Raw genomic sequence first — 24,385 nt, forward strand, 5'->3', positions numbered from 1 at the left:
CTGCACACCTACGGCAGGCCATCTTGGATGCTTCAAAGTTTTGGCAACTATGAATAAAGCTACTATAAATATCCGTGTGCAGAGTTTTTGGTAGGTAAAAGTTTACAAAACCTTTGAGTAAATATCCAGAAATGCAATTGCTGAATCGTATGATAACAGTACGTTTAGTTTTGTAAGAAACTGCTAGACTATTTTCCAAAATGACTATAGCATTTTGCATTCCCAGCAACAATCAAAGAAAGTTCTTGTTGCTCCATGTGCACTTTATTTCTAACTGCCTAACATTCAGTTGTATGTATGAATATTACATGTTACTTATTTTTTTAAGAAATACCAAACTGTTTTCCACAATGTCTATACCAATATACCTTCCACTAGCAATGTATGAGGGTTCCAATTTTAATACATTATCAGCAATTCCTTTTATATTCTGATTTAAAAAAATTATAGTAATTCAGGTGGGTGGTATGTCATTATGATTTTGATTTTCATTTTTCTAACCCCCAATGATGTTAAACATCTTTGCATGTACTTATTGATATTTGTATTCATGTATCTTTTTGGGAGTTACACTTATTCAAATCTTTTGCCCCTTTTTTTTCCTTTTGTTAGTGAGTTGTAAGAGTGATTTATATATTCTAGATACTAGACCTTTTTCAAATATGTGATTTGCAAATATTCTCTCCCATTTTGTAGGTTGCATTTTCATTTTCTCAATAATGTTCTTTGTTGTTGTTGTAGTTGTTGTTGTTTTTGTTAAGACAGGGTCTTAATAAAAGCTGGAGTTCAGTGGTGTAATCATAGCTCTCTCTGCAGCTTTGACCTCCTGGGCTCAAGTGATCCTCCCACCTTGGCCTTCCATTTACTGAGATGGACAACACTGGAAATAAAAAGACAGGTTTGGGGAGAATAATTAACATGCTGTTTTAGATTTGTCGATGTTTTAGATTTTTATTTGACATCTACAAGAGCAAAGCTGGAGATATAAAATTTGGAAGTCAATAGCATATTTGTTCTTTAAGGTCTTGTGACTTGATGAGATTACATAGGAGCAGACTCTAATAGAGAGCTAATGAGGTCACAATACTGAACCCTCGTGTCTTTCTGACATTTGGAGGTTGGTAAAAGAGGATTCATTAAGTGGGAGAAAAACCAGAAGACAACTTGACTTTAGAGCTGGATAAGTAAAAATTAAAATAATATTGATAGTTATAGTAATAAGGATGAGTATAACACAAGGTGGGGAACTGTCTTCGTTTGGGAAACTCCTTGATAGTTATGTTAAATCTGTCTCTTAGAGTACAGATTTGAACAAAATAAAAAAAAAGATTGCTAATCTGCTATTCATAAAAGATAAGCAGGAATTTGGAGGACAGGGAGAATTTTAGTGAGGGTATTGGGAATAAGGGCAGAGTGAATGACTAAACAACACAGTAGGGTGGCTGAAGAACTTCTAGATTTTAAGTTATTTTAATAGCTAGAAGTCAATTCATCTGTTTCCCCAAGACTTCAGTAATATGTGCTACATAGAAAAGAGCTTTTAGTGACTGGTGTGTGTGTGTCTCTGTGTGCATATGTGTATTCATGTGTGCAACAATGAAGACACTCATATAGATTGGGTTCGGAGCTGAGCAGAGAGGAGGGGCAGAAGAGGCCACCCGTCTTGAGAGAAGAGTGGAATGCAGACTTATGTAGCAATAGAAATTTGAAGGCAGAATGGACATGGGAAGGGAAGTCATCGGGAATGCAGAGACATCTGGGGGTCTGGGATTGAACTACCTTCTAGGTTATACCTCTATGACCTACTAGCTGCCTGATTCCTCCACCATGTTAACTGCTTTGGACTAGGATCTCTTGTTACTTAACTCTTAGTATTTATGCTGATTTCCTTAGTTGCTTGGACTCCCATTCCTGCCTGCTGCTGGACAACACCATTGGGTTATCACTTTGCTCTGGCAGTACTCTTTCCTTTTAAAATAGGCCAAATGAGATTGATGTGTATTTCCTGCTTCTAAAGAAATACAAATAAATTAAATGAGAATGTGGCCTCCTCTGATGCAAAGAATGTATCTTGATATGTTTTCAGCTGCCAAGCTTTCAAAATATGCCCAGAATTTTTCCCCACTACTAGGTTTGTCTAGTTTTTGTCGATAGTGGTGATTAACTTTTTGTGTCATCACTTGTATAAATTAACTCTAAATTAAAAGAAAATCTTTTTTGTTCTTCCTAAACAAAAGTTTAATTTTTATGACCTTTGCTACCTTTTAGATAATGGCCAGTTGATTGTATTTTTTATAGACTCTGAATCTTTATTTCAATATCTGAAGACTAGACAGAGGATACACAAAAAAAGACTACATTCAAGTAACAGAAAAAATACTAGACTTATAAATTAGTTTTCAAACTCCCCAATAGTTCTTCATAAATAGTTGGATTAAACAATACTATTTTTTTGGTTTCTACCTAACCTTGTTCCTTCTTTAACTAACTGCCTCTTATCTCTCCCTTTCTCTCTTCCTTCTTTTATTCACAAATGTGTCCCATAACCTCTAAAGCTAAAGAAATTAGACGTACTGAACCACTGTTGAATAGAGGAATTTAAGAGCCCCAATCTGATCTATTAATAAGTTCAAATCTCAGCTTTACCACTTCCCATTCTTGTGATCTTCATAAGATGTTTAACCTTTGTGCTTTGGTTTCCTAACCTTTAAAATGTGGATAATAATAGTACCTGATCACATGGGGCTGCTAGGGAAACTGAAATAGATTATACACACACGAAGTACTTAGAGCAATGCCTAGCATAATAAACACTAGCTGTCATTACTTTCCACATTATCTCAGATTTAAACAAGATACTAATACTAGAGGGAAATAATTAAAGTATATTTTGCAGTGTTGTCTGTTTGTACAGAAGAAGTAACTGGGGCTGGGAGAAAGATTCAATGTATTTGAAGAATAGATGAAAAAGAGCCAGGTAATGGTCTAACTTCTTTAAGCGAATTTAGAAAATACTCTACCAGTTAGTTTGCTTTCTTGCTTTCCTTTTTATTTTATTTTATTTTATTTTTTTTAGAGATGGGGTCTAGCTATGTTTTCCAGGCTGGAATGCAGTGGCATAATCACAGCCCACTGCAACCTTGAACTACTGGACTCAAGCAATCCTCCCACCTCAGCCTCCCAAGTAGCTGGGACTGCAGGTGCCTGCTGCTGTGCCTGGCTTATTTAAAAAATTTTTTTTTTGTAGAGATGGGGTTCTTGCTTTGTTTGTTGCTCAGGCTGGTCTCAAACTCCTGGCCTCAAGTGATCCTCCTGCTTCAACCCCTGGTTTGTTTTCTTTATTGCTCTTCATCTCTGTGACTCTGCTACTTAGATGTCATTGAAAAAGAGCATGATGTCTGCAGTCCTCATATTTGTCTTGCCACTAAGAAAAAAAAAAGTGACTTTGAGCAATTTATTTAGCTTTGGGAGTCCTGATTTCTTATATCTAAAATGGAAAGAGTAACTTCGAATCAAGTGAACTTTGGAAATGCACTATGAAAATATTACCAAGAACCACCCTTGTCTGGAAGCTTTCTAAGATGCTATGATTGCTCAATGAAGGATGGATATGATTTTACAAAGTTCATCTGGTCTTTGCAGAGTGACTTACCCACACGAGTTCTGCTCTATGTTTCTAGGAAAATTACTTCAATTAATCCCTGAATTGTAGCCCTCTCCCCTGGTGCAGCAGACAACAGCTGTTCAATACTCCAGAACAGGAGACAGTAGTTTTGGTATAAAAAAGGGAGGATTCATTTTTTGTTCAACTATAATCACAGGGGAGTTTTGGGGATGGGTGGAAATTTTTCCAGAGGAGAATAATTTCCTCTCCTTTATTCAAAACAGAAAGCAAATACAGATTAACAGCTCCTACCCGTGCAATGACAAAAGAAACTCAATTCGGTCATGGTCCTTCTCTCTTGGCTGCTCATCCTTAGGGCCCAAGCACTTGAAAAATCTCTGAATCACCAACAGACTAGAGTATAATAGCCCTTTTGGAGCAGTTATGGTCTGTCTTGTCAGAGGTCTTTGGGGGACACTTTAATCCTTGTATTAATAATACAATAGCCTGAAAATGTCTTCTTGGAAATCATCTGAATGTACCATTACAAACCCCCCATGAGTTAGCAATCCAACTCAACCGACTAAAAACTCCTTTCCTGATTTAGATAAAAATTATGTCAGGGCATGAACAATATTATAACACCTTAGAACACTTTTCTTTTTTGTTGGAAATTGCAGACACTATAAGTTTATATTAGAGACCTATCACCTATAGGATTTCAGTGGAAAAGTCATAGCTATTATAAATATTCTCTTTTAGTAGCTAAAACCATAAGCCATTTCTTTTGGCCTTTCTAGTAGTGCCTCTCAAAAATGGTCAAACTGATTTACATTAAATCAAAACCATTTGCCCTTGCACAGGTCCTTGGTTTTCTTTGTGGTATGTTTGTGTAATTTTTTTCATTAACCGGTTGAGGCATTTTGGCAATTTCAGTGCTACAGGGAGATTAATGGAAGTTTAATTCAATAAACTGCATAGCATGAAACCCAGTGCCCAAAGTGAAGTGATGTGAGCTATTTTAATAAGGCTCTTAACTTTTCCTCTTTCCTCCCAAGACCCATGTTGGCTCCTGCCTTGACAAAATTATTTGTATATCTCTCAGAGCTATTTTCCTGATTGTGCAGAGTGTGTAACCAAGGTGGCCTATTTGATCCATTTAGTTTTTGTGGAAGTTTGTGCTTGGCTGAATGATTTTCTGTAAAGCATTAGAAAATGTTCTTTCCACCTAACCAAAGGGAAATGTAATGAGGAAAGTGCTTCCTTTTCCAGCTGAAGGAACTGATGTTCTGTATTAAAAGAAAAAGTCAGAAAAGAATTAGTAGGATATTGGTGGAAATAAGTCTTGGGTGGGGGAGCTCTCAAGACTCTAGGAGAGATGACTCCCAAAAGAGGGAGTTAGATGCTGATGAAAGAATTAATCATGAAGTTCATAGAAACTGAACAAGAACAACAAATTACACTTAGCAAAGCAGGAAGAAAAAATATAACTATAAATGCAAGAATTAATGAATTAGGAAAATAACAAAATTGGCTGGGCATGGTGGCTCATTTCTCTAATCCCAGCACTTTGGGAGGCTGAGGCAGGTGGATCACCTGAGGTTGGGAGTTCGAGACCACCCTGACCAACGTGGAGAAACCCCATCTCTACTAAAAAATACAATACAAAAATTAGCCAGGTGTGGTGGTGCATGCCTGTAATCCCAGCTACTTGGGAGGCTGAGGCAGGAGAATCACTTGAATCTGGGAGGCAGAGGTTGTGGTGAGCCAAGAGTTCACTATTGCACTCTAGCCTGGGCAACAAAAGCCAAACTCCATCTCAAAAAATAAAATAAAATTACAAAATTATTAAATGCATCCCATAGTATTTCTTATAATAAGAAAACAATAACAAATACAAATATTCAAATAAGTTACTAGGTCATCTATTTGTGAAAAATAGAGAAAAAACACAAATACATAATTAGGAATGAGAAAGATGAAATACCCACAGATAGGATATCAAAAAAAAGTATCAAAGAGCAGGCTAGTTTATATGAAGACCTTAATGAAAGAAATTGTTTCCTAGAAAAATATGAATTATCAAAATCAATTAGAGAAAAGTTTAAAAACCTGGCCAACTGAATATTCATGAAAAAGATGAGAATATTGAAAAATCTCCATAAAAGATTTGAGCCCACATAGTTTCACACAGAATTTTTTTAACTCCTTAAGCCACAGGTGATGCCTGTTATTTCTGCTGTTCTGGTATTGTTTTGTCTGGTTTTATTTTGTTCTTTTCTCTTTCTTCTTTTTCTTTTTCTTTTTTAAACAAAGCCAGCCAACCTTGACAAAATTAACACACACCCACTCACACATAAAATAGATTACTCTCACACGTGAACATTGATAAAGCAACTCTAAGTAGAAAAATTTCAACAGAACTTAAGAAAAAATGTTAACCCTGATCAAGTAGGGTGTGTTAACATTTTGTGATTGCCATGTGAAAACTCACCTGTGACTCTTTAAGAGTCCGTATTGGTTTATGGACCCAGTAGGACCAGGCATTAATGTGACTTTAGACGTAAAAGTATTCACAGGCTTAAATAATGTCATTCTCTTCTATTTTTTCAGCTTTTCTTCTCTCAATATGTTGACTACACCTTCCTCTGTGGGGAAAGGGAAATGGCAGTCAGCAACTTGAGGTTCATATTCTTTTTTTTTTTTTTTTTTTTGGAAATGGAGTCTCGGTCTGTCGCCCAGGCTGGAATGCAGTGGCGCGATCTCAGCTCACTGCAAGCTCCGCCTCCGTGGTTCACGCCATTTCTCCTGCCTCAGCCTCCTGAGATGCTGGAACTACAGGCGCCCGCCACCACGCCCAGCTAATTTTTTTTATTTTTAGTATAGACGGGGTTTCACCGTGTTAGCCAGGATGGTCTCGATCTCCTAACCTCGTGATCCTCCCTCCTCGGCCTCCCAAAGTGCTGGGATTACAAGTGTGAGCCACCGTGCCTGGCCTGAAGTTCATATTCTTGAGGCTCAGAAATGCCAGTCGCAAGAGACTGTCTTTCTTCCGGCACTTTTATAGCCCCCTTAGGAAGGAACTCTGGCCGATATTGTGTTGTACGCCCACCTCTGGGTCAACCCACTTTATTGTTTTCTGCGCGTTGTCTTTGTGCCCTTCTGTATAGTCAACGATTGAGTACTCCACCAAAAACATGGAATGGGTGAGAGGTCGCTTCTCAAACAAGAGGATGCTGGTCAGTCAGTACAGTATGTCCATGATCTAAGGTTCATGATCAAGTATGGCTCAATGTTATATAGTATTTATTATTATTGTACTATATTTGTAGTTCAAATGAGAACAAACATCGGATCCATTTCTTACATGCCAAAAATGCATTTAATAAAATTCAACATTCATTCTCAAAAAATTTTGTAATTAAAATGGTAATAGAAGAATATACCCCCAAAATAGGCATCTCAAGCTAACAGGTAATGTAGGGTTTAGTGGTGAAATACTGAAGGACTTTCCGATAGTAATTAGCTTGATAAGAATAGCATCTGATCAGTATTATGACTTAAAATGTTTATGGGATGCTTGTTAATATGTTTAAACACTGTACCAATAAAAAGAGATACAAATTTGAAAGGAACAATCAAATTATCATTGCCTGAAGATTATTTAACTAAAAATTCAAGGGATCACAGGGAGATCTGTTGGATTCTGTAATATGGCATCTCGCACATTTCACTCTTGTCTTATTCATCCTAAAGCCTTCTCACAAACTAATGATTCTCAGTGTGTGGTTTCCAGACACCTGGAGGTTCCCAGGACAATTGGATGGGGTCAAAACTGTTTTCACAGTAATAGTAAGATCTTATTTGCCTTTGGTACTGTGTTGACATTTGCAGTAATGGTAAAGCAATGGTTGGCAAAACTATTGGCACCTTAGCTGGAATCTGCTGCCATGTACTCACAGTATAAGAAATTGCTAGTTTCACTTAAGGATGTCTTACTCCAGCAGCCTAAATGGCTAATTCTATTAAATCTAGACACTTGAATAATATCACTTTAATATTCTGTGTGAGAAAATGGGAAGTACATATAAACATAAACACTTCACTTGCAAATGGCATACAATGGATGCCCTGGGGAAAAACGTGTCATTCTTTGAATTGTGAGTTGAATTAGCCACTTTTTACACTCAACGCCATTTTTATTTGAAAGCATGACTGACAGACATATTATGGCTATTTAAATTTAGGTATTTCGCAGAAATTTTATTTAACATGAATGACATAAGCCTATCATTTCAAGGAAAACAGCTGACAATATTTGTTGTCAATGATAAAATTCAAGTTTTTGAGCAAAATTAGAATTTTAAAAACCTTAAATCTGTCACTAGGAGCTTGATAATTTCCAAATACGTAGAGACTTTCTTATGAAATTGGTGGTGATATTAACACATGTAATTTTATTGATAGTATAATATAATATGTAAACATTTGGAGCACCTTCAGTTAGACCTCTGAGTCAGGGATCTAATATTTTCTAATTGACCAATGTATGCCTTTGAGAATTTATCAAGCATGAATGAAAGATCCATTCAAAGTACAACATAGACCAATAGATTTTCATATACCAGGCAGGGCATGAAAAACTCGTTTCTATAGTTTCAAATTTCTAAATTGCATCTTATCTTTAAGAAACTGTACTTGCCATATTTTAATGGAGCATCAAAAAATAATATACACAATTATTTGGAAAGGCTATTAATATACTCCTTCTATTTCCAACTTTATTTTTATATAAGACTGTATTTTCTTCATATACTTCAAGCAAAGCAACATATTGCCGCAGACTGAATGCAGAAGCCAATTTAAGAATGCAGTAAGAAACAGCTATCTTCTATTCAGGCAGACTGAAGACATTTTCAAAGTGTAAATCAATAAAGAAATGCTGCAGTTTTCACTACATTTTTTCATTTGGAAATATACAATTTTCACAAAAATTTTTTTTGATAATATGTAATAGGGCCAGGTGCGGTGGCTCACGCCTGTAATCTCCGCAGTTTGGGAGGCTGAGGCGAGCAGATCACTTGAGGTCAGGAGTTCAAGATCAGCCTGGCCAACATGGTAAAACCCCGTCTCTACCAAAAATACAAAAATTACCCTGGCGTGGTGGCAGGCACCTGTAATCCCAGCTACTAGGGAGGCTGAGGCAGGAGAATCACTTGAACCCAGGAGGCGGAGGTTGCAGTGAGCTGAGATGGCACCATCGCACTCCAGCCTGGACAACAAGAGTGAGACTCCCTCTCAAAAAATAAAAATAAAAAATAAAAATATGTAATAGATTTATTGTTCCTTGTAATATATGAATAAAATTTTTAAAAATTAGTTTTAATTTCAAATATTAAGAGATATAACTCATGTAAAAAAGCCCATTGGAGAGCTTCAGTGATTTTTAAATGAGGGGTTCTGAGTTCAAGGAGTTTGAGAACTGCTAGCATATCTTAATCTCTCAGTTTGAAAATCTCCCTCTCAACTACAGGCATGCCTCATTTTATTGCACGTTTCTTTATTGCACTTTACAGATATTGAGTTTTTTTTTTTTACAATTTGAAGGTTTATGGCAACCCTACATTAAGCAAATCTATTGGCACCATTTTTTCAACAGCATGTGCTCACTTTGTATTTCTGTGTCACATGTTGGCAATTCTCACAATATTTCAAACGTTTTCATTATTATATTTGTAATGGTGATCAGTGATCGGTGATCTTTGATGTTACTATTGTAATTATTTTGGCATCCCTTGAACCATGCCCGTATAAGATGGCAAAACTGAACTGATAAACATTGTACGTGTTCTGACTCTTCCACTGACCAGCCGTTTCCTCTCTCCCTCTCCTTGGGCGTCCCTGTTCTCTGAGATAAAAAGATCTTGAAATTAGGCCCATTAACAACCCTTCAGTGGCCTCCACTTAGAGTGAAAGGAAGAGTTTCAAGTCTCTCACCTTAAATCAAAAGCAAGAAATTACTAAGCTTAGTGAGGAAGGCATGTCAAAAGCTGAGACAGGCTGCAAGCTAGGCCTCTCGTGCCAGATAGATGAGTTGCTAATACAAAGGAAAGTACTTGAAGCAAATTAAAAGTGCTACTCCAGTGAACACACAAATGATATGAAAGCAAAACAACCTTATTGCTGATACAGAGAAAGTGTTATTGGTCTGGAATAAAGATCAAGCCAGCCACAACATTCCCTTAAACCAAAACCTAATCCAGAGCAAGGCCCTAACTCTTTTCAAATCTGTGGAGGCTGAGAGAGGTGAGGAAGCTGCAGAAGAAAAGTTTGAGGTTAGCAGAAGCTGATTCAGGAGGTTTAAGGAAAGAAGCTGTCTCCATAACTTACAAGTGCAAGGTGAAGTAGCGTGTGCTGATGTGGAAGCTGCGGAGGTTATCCGGAAGATCTAGCTTAGATAATTGGTGAAGGTGGCTACAGTAAACAAAAGATTTTTAATTTAGACAAAACAGCCTTATGTTAGAGGAAGGTGCCATCTAGGACTTTCATAGCTGGAGACGAGAAGTCAGTGCCCAGCTTCAAAGGACAGGCTGACTCTCTTGTTAGCAGTTAATGTAGCTGGTGACTTTAAGTTGAAGCCAATGCTCATTTACCATTCTGAACACCTTAGGTCCCTTAAGAATTATGCTGTATCAACTCAGCCTGGGCTCTATAAATGGAGCAACAAGGTCTGAACATCTGTAAACATCTGTTTACAGCCTGCTTTACTGACCACCTTAAGCCAGCTGTTGTGGCCTACTACTCAGAAAAAAGACTCCTTTCAAAATATGATTTCTTATTGACAATGTACATAGTCAAGCAAGAGCTCTGATAGAAATGTACAAGGAGATTGGTGTTGTTTTTAATGCCTGCTAATATAACATTTATTCTGCAGCCCATAGATCAAAGCGTCATTTTTACTTTCAAGTTGTATTATTTAAAAATACATTTCATAATGCTATAGCTGCCATAGGTAGTAATTCCTCTGATGGATCTGGGCAAAGTAAATTGAAAATCTTTTGGAAAGGATTTAGCATTCTAGATGCCATTAAGAACATTGGTGGTTCACAGGAGAAGGTCAAGATATCAACAGAAGCAAGAGTTTGGAAGAAGTTGCTTTCAACCCTCATGAATGAGTTTGAGAGGTCCAAGACTTTAGTGGAAGAAGTATTTGCAGATGTGGTGGAAATGGAAAGAGAACTAAAATTAGAAGTGGAGACTAATGATGGGACTGAATTGCTGTAATCTCATGGTAAAACTTGAATGGATGAGGGTTGCCTCTTTTTTTAACTGCTAATTTATGTTCAGGGTACATGTGCAGGTTTGTTACATAGGTAAACTTGTGTTGTGAAGGTTTGTTGTACAGATTATTTCGTCACCCATGTATTAAGCCTAATACCCATTAGTTATCCTTCCTGATCCTCTCCATCCTCTCAACCTTCATCCTCTAATAGGTCCCAGTTTGTGTTTTTCCCTCTCTGCACCCATGTGTTCTTACCATTTAGCTCCCACTTATAAGTGAGAACATGCGGTATTCGGTTTTCTGTTCCTGTGTTAGTTTGCCAAGGATAATGGCCTCCAGCTCCACACATGTCCCTGCAAAGGCCATGGTCTCGTATAAGTTGTTCTCTTAAAAGACGTGTACACATGTATGTTCATTGCAGCACTATTCACAATAGCAAAGACATGGAATCAACCTAAATGTCCATCAATAATAGACTGGATGAAGAAAATGTGGTACATATACACCATGGAATAATGTAGCCATAAAAAAGAGAGTTGCTTCTTATGGATACACAGACAGTGGTTCTTGAGATGGATTCTACTCCTGGTAAAGGTGCTATGAACATTGTTGAAATGACAACAAAGGATTTAGAACATTTAATAAACTTAGTTGATAAAGCAGCAGCAAGTTTTGAGAGGACCGACTTCAATTTTGGAAGAAATTCTACCGTAGGTAAAATGCTATCAAATGCTATCAAACACTATCACATGCTACAGAGAAATCGTTTGTGAAAGGAAGAATTCATTGATGTGGCAAACTTTACTGTTGCCCTATTTTAGTGAATTGCCACAGCCACCCCAACTTTTAGCAACTACCACCGTGATCAGTCAGCAGTCATCGCCGTTGAGGTAAGGCCCTCCACCAGCAAAAAGACTACAACTCACTTCAGGCTCAAATGATTGTTAGCATCTTTTAGCAATAAAGCATTTTTAAGTTAAAGTATGTACACTGTGTTCTTGACATAATGCTATTGCATATTCACTAGATTGCAGGATAGTGCTAACATTATTTTTATATGCACAGGGAAACCAAAAAAATTGGTGTGACTTGTTTGATTGCTAAACTCACTTTACTGTGATGGTCTGAAACCAAATCTGCAATATCTTTGGGGTATGCCTGTACCCCAGCTCTGTCTCATTCTCTACCATTGAGCTTGAAGTAAAGTCCCCAACCTCCCAATTTCCTAGACAGGATGATACCACCCAGTGAGGAGTGCCTGTGCACCCCTGTGTTTCTCCTTCATGGCACAGTCACCAACCTCCAGGTTGCATTCCCTCTTTCTGCCTTCTTACTGACTAAGTCAAAGAAGTCCTTTCTTGTACTTCCAAAGTATTTAAAGGGGCCTTTGGATCTAGTTTCAACATCTAGGGCAGTGCTTTGCTTGCAATTAGTCAAATTAGGCTATTTTCAGAATACAGTAGTCCCTCCACATTTGTGGGTTTCACATCTGCAAATTCAAACAACCGCAGATCAAAACTAGTGTAAAAAAAATGGCAATAAAACAATAAAAGTAATAGAAATAAAAAATACAGTATAACAACTATTTCCATAGTATTTGTAGCAATGTTAGGTATTATAAGTAATCTAAAGATGATTTAACATATACAAGAGGATGTGTGTAGGTTATATGCAGGTAGAATGTCATTTTATATAAGGGATTTGAGTATAGTGGATTTTGGTATCCATGGGAGTCCTGGAACATATCCTTTGCAGATATCAAGGGGCAATCGTATATTGGTTCTATTTGAAAATTTAATTTAAATACCAAATTGCAATGATTAAAATTGGTATGATCTTATTTTGGTGCCTCTATTTCATTATTATCTTATTCTCTATCATCGATCATAAAGCCCTCTTTCCTCTCCTCCTCCCTCACCCTCAGCTGTAGTGAAACTGGTTAATGTAGGATATTTTAATGCCAAAAATTGAGGGACAGACTCATTGCCAATAATTCAGTCCAACCTGTGTAAACATCAGAGATTAAAGATTGTTGCTTCTTACCTTCCCCACTTCTAAAAAAATAGGTCGCTTTGCAATCTGGAATGCAGAAAAGAGAAGAGTGGTTAGTTTAGTTCTGATTATTTGATTACTGTGGGTCAGTGAGGCTCCTGCGAGGATCCTAGACCATCATTTTTTCTTGCTAAACTTCCTGTATTGTGGAGGGGAGGGCTCTCTCACTTTTAAGGTGCCTTGATAAATTAACTTGGGTAGACCTTTTCTGAGGGTGGGTGAGCACGTTTCTTCCAGGAATAAAAGTCTCACTTAAAAGAGTGAAATGAAAACTGACCAAGAACAAAGGCATCATTAATTTCAAGTGGAAGAAATAATTCACAAAGCTGAGATAAGTCACTTCTCATGGGTAAACTATTTCCTTTTATATACTTTGGTCACCTTGGTATACACTACTATACAGAAACCTACTGGAATACTTTTATTTATGCTCTTAGATTTTCAACACCATTAGTCCCATGAGCTCAAACTTCAAAGTGTACCCATAGCTTCATTATTATTCCTCCAAACTTTCCTTCTCCAGTAGCCCACAAACTTTTCACCCCCTGAGTAGGTGAGCAGTAGTTACAGATATGATATTTAAGTTCTCCTCCTCTTGGCCAGGTGCCACTTCTTGTGGTTAAGGGAAGAAGCATAAAAACTTATTAAAAAGTTCTGAAAATACATCAGACACTCAACACAGTGTGTGCTCATGATTTGTGTGGAAATGAATTACAAAATGTAGATTGAATTTCCCCCTAAATTCAAATGACTTGAACAAAATGAAAGAAAATAGTACATGGCACAGATGTAAGCACCATGTAATTTTTCTTTCATATAGTTTTTATGAAAGCTCACCATTGTCTATTTTACTCAGCCCTTAAGTATTGATTTAGACTACTATAATTTTTAAAGTCAACATCCAAAATTATTGGACTTTTTTTCTCTCACAAAATCAAATCTATTAGTGTTTTAAGAACATTTCACTTGAAAAAAAAGTCAGAGAATCTTCTCCATCTTCTTCTGATTCTTAACATGCTTTTGAAAGTGGAAAGTTTAGTTCATTGCTGAAAGTTACTTATAAGTTGATGTTGAAGTCCATGTGGAACCCTATGCATAGGATGAATATATATTTACACATGTGTGAATACATTTGTGTGTAAATGTATGTGTGTATATATATTTTCTTTTTGTTCTACGTTTATTTTAAAGGCCTGATAAGTCCTGCAATCCCTATTTCTAAGCATGAACTTCTACAAAATGAAATGTCGTTGTATTATATTATTATATTATATGTCAGATATTATATAATTTTGAGATTTCCTACAGGCTTGTTCTAAACATTAAAAAATAAAGCATGTCTCCAATAGTGTGTTCAATTTCCTGCATGATCTTTGGAAATGCTGTAATTAAATAAAATGTAACACATGTGGGATCTGTACTCTTGCTTATTATGACTTTAAAGGCTTCAAGGCCTTCTCCCTGCATACAAGTCAAGATGCCCAGAATAAAGAATGGCAAGTGATAGTTTTTTGGTCTTGCTGTAACTTTCCACTAATCATCAGCAGGTTTTGAGACTGCACTGTAGAAATCCTGGATAACTCCTATTTATTTTTTTTAATGTATAAGCAATACATGGAAGGAATACTGAATGTTTGGTATCCAGACTTCTTGTCCTCAAGCTATGTACCATAAGGGAAATTGAGGCTCAGAGACTTTTTCTAGGATAAAAATAGAGCGCACACATCTAGATCACCAACATCTCTCTGCTAGGATTCAGATGTCCTATCTTTATACACTTAAAAGCAGACCACAAATGCATGTGTTATTCAGTTACATATATCCTTTGCATTTCCTTGATGCAGTTAAAATTGTGACTGTATTGTTTGATGTCTTAATTTCCTTAGGCTGTCAAGATGATGTCTGCTGACTCTAAATGTCAGACCTCCCTCATTACTGAACATGCAGGAAGTTGAACACAGCTCTTAAGAAATTTACATATTTAAAGGAACTCATGCAAGCTGAAATAGAAATAGAAGTCATATGAGAGTTTTTCTGTAGCTACTGTGGATAGCAGGATTGAATGGAGTGATTAGGACTGGAAAGTGCAATAGGGAAAAATAAATCAGATCAGCCCAAGAAATAGGGAACCATAAGAGCAGTGATTCTAGGTTAGATTACAACAAACAAGGTTTTCTGGGTAGGAAATACAGTTAACAGTGTTGGAGAACTTGGCTTTTGGACAGTAACTATTACTGGGTTTCACGGCCTGTTTTAGGAGAGATGGGGTAAGGGGAAGCTGAGAGTGACCTTCTAGCTTCTGCTACTTTCTCAAATGCCAAGGGGCCATATTTTGGGGTAGCTTGTCCTGAAGCCCAACCATCCTATATGTTTAAACTAGTTACTTTATCCTCTTTTGGCTAAAGGAATAAAAATTACCTTAACCATACCAATAGAAATACAAGTTAGAAAATACCAATTTGACAGTAGCATTGAAGTTGATTGAGATAGAAGACAAATGTGACTCGGCAGTCACATCTCTCCATTGTCTCCCTTTGCGTGTGGGCTTTGTCTCCCATCAGTGTCCAGTAGAAGTTTTTGTATGACTTAGATGGAGCCATCCACCATAAAGTGGTGACAATGATCCACTATGGTGAACTTCACTGACGGGAGAAGAGTGTAGAGCAAGATCAGATCTGCCTAAAGCTGAGAACATCCTTGTGGTGCTGGTTGTAGAAAAAATCTCCAGTGAACCCGTCTTAGGTCATTCTGTTTTCTCAGATTTTTTGCCACCACCATGCTAAAGACTGGTAAAAACCAAAGAAGTTTGTATTTTCTTATGTCTGTTATTTTAAGTAAAGATGGCAGTATGGGCAAAGTAAGGCACAGAAACTTCAAACATTTGCCTAATTTTTTTTTCTTTTCCAGGACAGCAGTTCCCTTCTCATTTGGGATCGTTTTTGCCTGTGTAAGTATATTTTTCAGGGTCCAGTGAACTGAGAAGTGCTGTTCATTATGAGGTGATGGCTCAGATCAGCCTTGTTGGTGTAGAATGGAATGTCCCAATGATGATGGCAGCTGTGCTTGTCTACTTGTTTGTTCTAAACAGTTTCTACACATTTACAGGGTGATTTATTGCAAGCCCAGCTGCTTTACTTATTTTGTCAGTAGTTGAAATTAAAAATAATTCATTTGTAATTGAATCTCAGAGAGAAATAATATTAAATATACTTTCAGTCAGAGAAGGGGCAGAAAGTGGAAGTTTGTCTCATGAGTTAAAGCCATCTGTACGAAGATGCGCGGTTGTTTAGGGCGGACCTGTGGATGGTGGTTGGAATGCATTTTTAACTTCAGGACATGCTTTCTTTTGGGGTTTGAGCTTAAAAATAACTGTGTTTTTATGATTAGCATGACTAGCACTAGTAATCCAGAAATGAAATAAGACTTTAAAACACATGTGCATACATTCACGCCTACACACATGTATTCTTGCACACACACACACACACACACACACAAACAGTACTGCATAGATTCAGAATGAAAGTTCAAAAAGACCCAAGTGGAAACATTTCTAATAGAACTAAATGAAAGGAACACTGGAGACTGAAGCAAAGAAGGGATTTAGTAAAGGTCAGAGAAAGCTACAGTTCGTTAGCAATGGTTCTGACAACAGTTTTTGCAGTTACTGTGTCCTTCAGAATAGAGAATTGGGTTACACTGACGACTTCATTCAGGCCTCTTTTTTGTTTTTGTTTTTGTTTTTGTTTTTGTTTTTGAGATGGAGTTTCGCTCTTGTTGCCCAGGCTGGAGTGCAGTGGCGCTATCTCGGCTCACTACAACCTCCGCCTCCCTGGTTCAAGCGATTCTCCTGCCTTGGCCTCCCAAGTAGCTGGGATTACAGGCATGCGCCACCATGCCCAGCTAATTTTTTGTATTTTTAGTAGAGATGGGGTTTCTCCATGTTGGTCAGGCTGGTCTCAAGCTCCTGACCTCAGGTAATCCTCCTGCCTCAGCCTCCCAAAGTGCTGGGATTACAGGCATGAGACACCACGCCCGGCCACCATTTGTTTTTTTAAGCAGCATTCACTTTCTCCATTTATTCATATTCTTTCATTTGTTTACATATTTGTTTATTTATTCCATCAGTCATTTTAAGAGGAGTTTACTGGGAGACTTGTGTATTCTTTCTTCTTTGTAGGGTCTGTGGTAACCCAAAGTCACATGGATGAAGCCTCTGCTTCATGTGAGTGTCCTAGGGAGACAGGTTTGTAATACATTGTTTTTGTAGTGAGTACGTGGAGATAGTTGTAGAGACAAAGTGCTGTGGGACCACGAAAGAGTGACAGCAGTTTTACTAAGGACAGCAGTTGGTGAGGTTCTTATAATTGGTCCCTGACCATTCAGCTTGTCTTGCCATCCAAGATCCCCTTGGCTAAATTCCAGGTGAGTCTGTTTTCTCTTTTTCTATCTCCACTTGTTTTCCTTCTTACCATCCTTTCTCTAGGCTTTACATCTCCTTTCTCATTCATTGAAGACTTGAGTTAACCATTTTTTTCCTTCTAATTTGTGGGGAAAGGTGCCATTTTCCTTGGCCTTCTGTGTTGTGTGTTGACCTAAACATCAGGGAAGTCCTTTCCATCAAAACATTAATGCATCAGTCTCACAGTATAACAAACACAACTCTCTACAATATGATCTTATCATACCTGGGAACCTAGGAGTCAGAGTTGTGAGGCATAAAGAAATCAGATGCTGTGCATGATTTTGTTTGGTGGAAGAGAATAAATCAAGGAATCACAGGTTCCAGGTGACTTCTGAGAAAAATGTGTTGCTTCTTTGAAAGGTAGGATACAGGATTCTAAAAAGGCCTCTGGGCTACTAAAGGGTTGAGAAAATACTTAGATATATTGGATTTCACAGTGGTAAACTTATTACAAAGAATATTTAAATGAAAGGTAGTTGCTATGTGACACAGATATGGAGAAGAGATGATGTCATTAGAGACATCTTCATTTGAACGGTATGGGCTTCACATGGATGGTAGAAGTGAAGTCACAGTTTCCTTCCACTCATGTCACTGCATGCAGTGGCATCTTATCATGTCACTTGAAAAGATTCTTGAAAGCCATTGTCAAACGACTGAAAGAAGAAGACAAGCAGATGAGCTATTCTCTGGAATACAAGTAAGGGAAGACACAGAGACCAGAGGCTACCTCAAGGCCCACAGACAGCATCCTTGAGGCTACCTGCTTACCCTTTAGGAGCTGGCTGCCTCTTAAGAATGAGGAATGCATTTCTTGGGCCTCAATTTCCAAATATTTTAATTGCGAAGCTTGATTAGATCAAACTTTCTCAATTTCTTTTCTGCAGCAAATTAGAAGTGTGATGAACCTTCCATGTGCAAATCTCAGAGCACTGATTGTGCCTAAACCCTTTTCTTTCCCATAAAAGAAATCTTAATGGAAATTAAGCAAACTACCATTATTTTAGGAATGGCCTTGAGTTCTCACCAATTTATATAAGCAAATTTTTGTACTTTAATGATTATTAGTATTAAGTTACTTATGAATTCCTCACATTGTTATAGACAACTGCCAAAAAGGACAACTCCAAGAAGCTGGAAGATCTAACATTCTAGATTTCATGTTTCCCAGTACCTGTGAAGAAAGGGGTTAATATAGCCAGGCCTGAGATTGCTATTCATAGAAAGGCCTGTCAGTAAGATTGGCATTTGACTGGCATCTGGGAGCCTGACTGGTAAACAGTCTCCAGCATTGATATAAAACTTTCATTAAATGATAAAGCTGGCTTACCTGGTTTGTGCAAACATACGGTTCATGCTGAATACTTACTGTTTTTCTAAGGGTCTGGAATTTTAGTATATGCTAGGCAGAGGATGCTTACATGACCAGTCCCCAGTCATGGGGTGCTTAGTCTCTATTGCGCTTCCCTGATAAGCAACACTTAACTCATATTGTTGGCACAATTACTTGCTAGAGTAGAATTAAGGGCATCTTATTTGACTCTACTGGGAGAGGACTCTTGGAAGCCTGTATCTAATTTCTCTTTGTATCTTTTTCCTTTGATGATTTTGCTTTGTATCCTTTTGCTGATGTCTCTATGCTGAGTCCTGTGAGTCCTTCAAACAAATCTGGTGCTGGAGATTCCGATACAGGCCACATACTGATTTTTAAAAAATCTTTTATTAAATGTTGCCTACTAAGTAACTTTTGGGGGTGAGGAGACAGAGTAATGGGGCAAGAGCAAAGATGAGTAACATACAGTCGTGCCCCAGTTTAGTGGGTGAACTTGACTTACACAAGGAAGCAAATGCAATAGAGAGTGATGGCAGGCGGGGCAGGAAGTGGGTGTGGGGTGCTGAAGGTGAGATGAGTATGGTGGAAGTTAACTTAACATTTGTAATGGGGTTAAGAGGATTATAATACATGGTGCTCTTAATGCCCATTGCAATGTATAGACGATTTAGGGAGCATGACCTGAGTATGGAGGCAAGGAAAAGTCCCAAAAAATGGTAAAAAAAAAAAAAAAAAAAGAATAAGGATATATTTGAGAAGGGGTGTTCTGAGACACAAGGGCCCAGAATCATGTATTCAACTTTCTTCTAACTAAAAAAGAAGGGAATGGTATTGAGTGAAGAATAACTTCAAAAGAGTCATCAACTTCAGATTGGAGTTGCAGGAATTCCAAGTCAGCGAAATCAAATCTAAATCCTTGAGTAGCAATAAGCATGGTGTGATGATAATGAAAATAATAATGACTAAACATATTGAGTGATTCCTGTGTGCCACATACTGTGGTAAGCTATTATATGCATTGAATCTTTTAATGATCCTAGCAACCTGTGAGGTAAGTACTTTTCTCATCCTCCTGTTTTAGAGATACAGAAGTAGAGGTCCTGAAAGTTACTTTTCTCAAGGTTATAGACCTGGTAGACCCTACTTAAAACTTCCATGCTCTACTGCTGTGGAAGTTAATAGAAGGTTCGTCTGTTGAAGGCAGGACTTTTTTCCTATCAGCATATGCCTTTTCTAGGAACACTCTACAGCTCATCCAAGACAATGGAGTCCTGAGGAGAAAGGCAAAAGCAGCAACCTCTCCCCTTGCCTAATACCATTGTCACAGGAGTATGAGGAGGCAGTGGTGTGCAGTGGTTTAGTGCCTGTCTTTCGAGTCAGTGGAAACTGGACTAGACCTGCTCTGTTGCTTATTAGCTAACTGATTTGGGACAGGTTGCTCAGATTTCTCTGTGCCTCAACTCCTTCATGTATAAGCTGCAGAAACCTACTATATACCTTAATGTGGCTCCTGCGAGGACTGAATGCTATAAGATGGTGATTCTAAATTGGTGGCACACTGCCTGGTCCATAGTAAGAACTCAACAAATGGTAGCTATTACTAGTTAGTTGGAAATAGAGTATTCTCCCACCAATTTCCATTTTATGGCCACTTTTAATTTACCACTAATTACCTTTTGATGGCGTTGGCATACAGCATTTAATTGACTGAAAAATTCCATTAATACTTCATAATGAAGTACACAAATTATATGGGGAAAATATTGTGGTGGTGTTCTAAAGGAAGGCCTACTTTTTCCTTCTTCAAATATCTAAAATTGTGAGGATGACTGTATCTCAATAACTTGGTAACTGTCAACAGTTTAATGTGAATGGGACCATTAGGCTCCTCATGAGTGAGCAATACAGTCATTTTGCAGTCTTACCTCTTTGTGTACTCAATCAAGGAAAGTGCTGTACTCTTAGTCATGTCCCTCTCTCCACCACCGCCATTACCATGTCCATCAAATCCTATCCCTGGGGTAATTTTTGTTTTGTTTTGTTTTAGATAGAGTCTCAATCTGTTGCCCAGGCTGAGGTGCAGTGGTGCGATCACAGCTCACTGTAGCCTTGAACTCCCAGGCTCAAGCGATCCTCCCACCTAGGCCTTCTGAGTAATTGAGACCATAGGTAAGTACCACCATGCCTGGGTAATTTTTATTTTTATTTTTTGTAGAGTTGGAGTCTTGCTATGTTGCCTAGGTTGCTCTCAAACTCCTGGGCTCAAGCAATCCTCCTGCCTCGGCTTCCCAAAGTGCTGGGGTTACAAGCTTGAGCCACCACACCTGGCCACTAAGGTAATTTTTGGATTTGTGTCTTTGCTCAGCCACCAGCATTACTCTTAGGATGAGAGTGTTAGCACTCCTGGTAGGTACTCATGTCCCATCCTGTGAACCTTAGTCACATTGCTGGTTCAGCACACTTGGTGAAATGGTGACAACTGTTGAGACTTCTTTGTGGACACTTTCCACCGTCTTTAATCCTCTTCATCAACATGCTGCCTCTACCAGTGTCCTGAATGATGTCCTCAACTATATGTCACTAGCTGCCTTCTCTCTTCCCCTGGCCTGCCTTGAAAAAAAGGTTAAAAAAAAAAAAATTGTGCTCAGAGCCACTTACGGATTGTCAGTTCTTCTTTCTCAATGATCTTCAGTGACCCAAAGTCCCTGTGTCGAGGCCTTGAACCCATGCCATGGGCATTAACATTTCTTCTTACAAGGCTGAAGGGAAAGGGTCTACAATTAGCTTCCTGGCTATTCACGTAAAGGGGCTTTTTTCCACCCACTCTCTCTCACTCTTGCTGGTATGTAACTCCACCATGACTCCACCATGACTCCACCATGACCTGTACTTCCTCAGCCTTTATTTCTCCTCTATTTGCATTGAGGGTGTTTGTTCTTAGGTATTACTTTACATGTACCCTTACTAAAATGTATCAATTGTTATTGCCATTTGAAATATTTTCTGGCCAGACATGATGGCTCATTCTTGTAACCCTAGGACTTTGGGAGGCTGAGGCAGGTGGATCGCTTGAGCCCAGGAGTTTGAGACCAGCCTACTGGTCATGGTGAGACATGGCAAAACCCCATCTTTACAAAATAAATAAATAAATAAATAAATACATACATACATACAAAAATTAGCCAGGCATGGCAGCCCATGCCTGTAGTCCCAGCTACTTGGGAGGCTGAGATGGGAGGATCACTTGAGCCTGGCAGGTGCAGGTTGCAGTGGGCCAAGATAGTACTACTGCACTCCAGCCTGGGTGACAGAGAGAGACCCTGTTTAAAAAAAAAAAGTTTCTGTTGTTCCAGAGTTCTATCTATACAAATTAATTATCTGCAAATTTGATGAGAAATTCTTGATCTCTCTTTTGAAGATAGAGACAACAATGTTTCCATATTCCAGTTATTCATACACAACACCTTCAAAACTTTTTGCTATATGTACATACCCCTGTACTTTTTGCCAGTGTGCATACCCCTGTACTAAATGTACATACCCCATACTAAATGTAGGCACCCCTGTATGTACATACCCCTGTACTTTTTGCCATGTGTGCATACCCCTGTACTAAATGTACATACCCCATACTAAATGTAGGCACCCCTGTATGTACATACCCCTGTACTTTTTGCTATATGTGCATACCCCGTACTAAACTTTTTGCTATGTGTACATACCCCTGTACTATTATTTACTTAATAAAGTCAAATCTTCCCTGGTGAGGCAAAATTGCTATCAGTGGAGAACCACGATGTGGTTCATGCATATGTGGGAGAACAATGCAGGTCTCCTTGCCTTAATATTTCCTCTCTGAGTACAAGCTTCAGGCCAATATGAGATGTAAAACCAGACTACACATATGGTTTATGGAGGCTGTCATGCTGTCATATAAGGAGACCAAATAGGTTTGCTAAGATTTATCCTTCTTTTAGTCATATTGGTTTCTATGAAGTCCCTAAATCAGGGGTCTGTCCTTTTTTTTTTAGAGGGTCTAAAGAGGAGCTACTTTGTCACTCATCACTCGCTTGAATATTCATCAGCAACAGAAGAGGAAGCTGATCTGGGGGGTGCCGGTGGTTGTCTGTAAGTCACACAAGGAGTAGATGGTTCACAGATCAGCAGATGCCACTGCCACCTTTATCTTGTCTGTGTGTTCTTCAGTCGTTCCTACGATAAGGCTTTTGTAAGGAGCATAGTGCTCTTTCCCTTTCTATGGAAGTATACTTGTATGTGGATAAGTATCCTTGTATGCTAACTACTGTAAGAGAAACACATAGTCAATCCTACAAATAAAAAATAATATTTTGCTCAGCTCACAGTTGGGAATGGGTTAGATGGTCCTCTGAGGCAGCTGGCTGTCCTTTAAGTGTTTACTCAGGGATCTCAGCATTGCTGCCTTTGACTATGTGGCTATGTCATCTTGGGCCAAGAGATCACAGAACATTATCTGGGACAGCAGTTACATAGTTCTGGTCAAAACTCTAAAGAAGGCATGTGAGTGATTAAAATTTGTCAAATTCAGTGTTAAGTGACAACCTGCATCTGGACTCCTAGATAGCCAGTGTTTGATGGAATCTCCCTAATGTTGGCTCTCTAGACCATTCGTTCTAGGGACCTGTCTGCGCAATTGGACTTCCTGCCATGTCTCATGGTGCCTCCCTGATGTCTCCTCACCTGCAACTCCAAATCCCAGCCACTCTCCGTCTGCATCCCTCAGCTACATAGTTCCCTTTCTGGTCCTCTGCATGATGAGGTAAGGCAAGTAGACTGGTTCAAACTTCTCCACTGGGATTACAAACTGTGATCCCAGACAATGAACCATGGCCTCCTAAAGTCATAAGCCCAGGCATTCCAACAAGACAGAATGTTGAAAAATGCCTTCTCATGTCAAACGTGATTAGGCGAATGAGAGAACATACTTTAAAAATAATAAGGTCTGAGAGAAATGTGTTTTTTTTAATTACTATATTCCTATTAGAAATGGTGTCATGGTAAAAATAAGGAGACTTTCTCCATCAGCAAAACCCACTCCAGTCTTACTGCAGTGTGGTCACCCTTGACAAAGATGAAAAGGTGAGAAGAGTTTTGATTGTTTTCATCCTGAGGTGTATGGACAGGTGTTTGAATATACTTAGTGGGTTTACATAAAAACACTAAAAAAACTTAGAATATTTTGGTGAAGATAATGCAAAATAAAATGTTAAACTAAAAAGTCACATTTTCAGTCTTCTGTTAAGAAGTGTTTTTTCTCCATGAGGAGGATGACATAATTTTTCTTCATTGCTTGTATTCATCATACCTGAGAAATATTATTGGTTATGTTTTATATCTTGATGAGTTTAATCATGTACATTTGATGCTAGGCCAAAATGGGAAAGAGGCAAGATGTATCATCCAGCCGTCCCATTCCTGTACTTTTAGTTATTCTTGTTGGTTCATGTTTCCCTCAGACACAATTATTCTTAGGCTGTATTGTAGGCTGGGGATACTATAGATCAAAGTTAATGGATTTGGTTCTTTTGTATTTTTCCGGTTGTTTGGGCAGGGATGGTTTTTCTTTCTTTCTTTCTTTTTTTTTTTTTTTGAGACTGAGTCTTACTCTGT

At 38.3% G+C, this 24,385-nt stretch overlaps 3 long non-coding RNA genes across 3 annotated transcripts; 2 read left to right on the forward strand and 1 right to left on the reverse strand.

Moving 5' to 3' along the window:
- Positions 1 to 2,782: 2,782 nt before the first annotated feature.
- Positions 2,783 to 17,174, forward strand: LOC105379136 (uncharacterized). The gene is made up of 3 exons (XR_948692.2): positions 2,783 to 2,977; positions 15,846 to 15,885; positions 17,119 to 17,174. It is a non-coding gene; the product is annotated as an uncharacterized LOC105379136 (long non-coding RNA).
- On the reverse strand, positions 3,293 to 21,489 carry LOC105379135 (uncharacterized). Its single transcript, XR_948691.1, has 4 exons — positions 21,395 to 21,489; positions 12,930 to 12,965; positions 6,099 to 6,252; positions 3,293 to 3,424 (listed from the first exon to the last, which is right to left on the reverse strand). It is a non-coding gene; the product is annotated as an uncharacterized LOC105379135 (long non-coding RNA).
- On the forward strand, positions 20,820 to 23,528 carry LOC105379134 (uncharacterized). Its single transcript, XR_948690.1, has 3 exons — positions 20,820 to 20,905; positions 22,768 to 22,864; positions 23,379 to 23,528. It is a non-coding gene; the product is annotated as an uncharacterized LOC105379134 (long non-coding RNA).
- Positions 23,529 to 24,385: the final 857 nt, after the last annotated feature.

This window comes from Homo sapiens, chromosome 5 (genome assembly GCF_000001405.40).
Source record: "Homo sapiens chromosome 5, GRCh38.p14 Primary Assembly".
Taxonomy (NCBI): domain Eukaryota; kingdom Metazoa; phylum Chordata; class Mammalia; order Primates; family Hominidae; genus Homo; species Homo sapiens.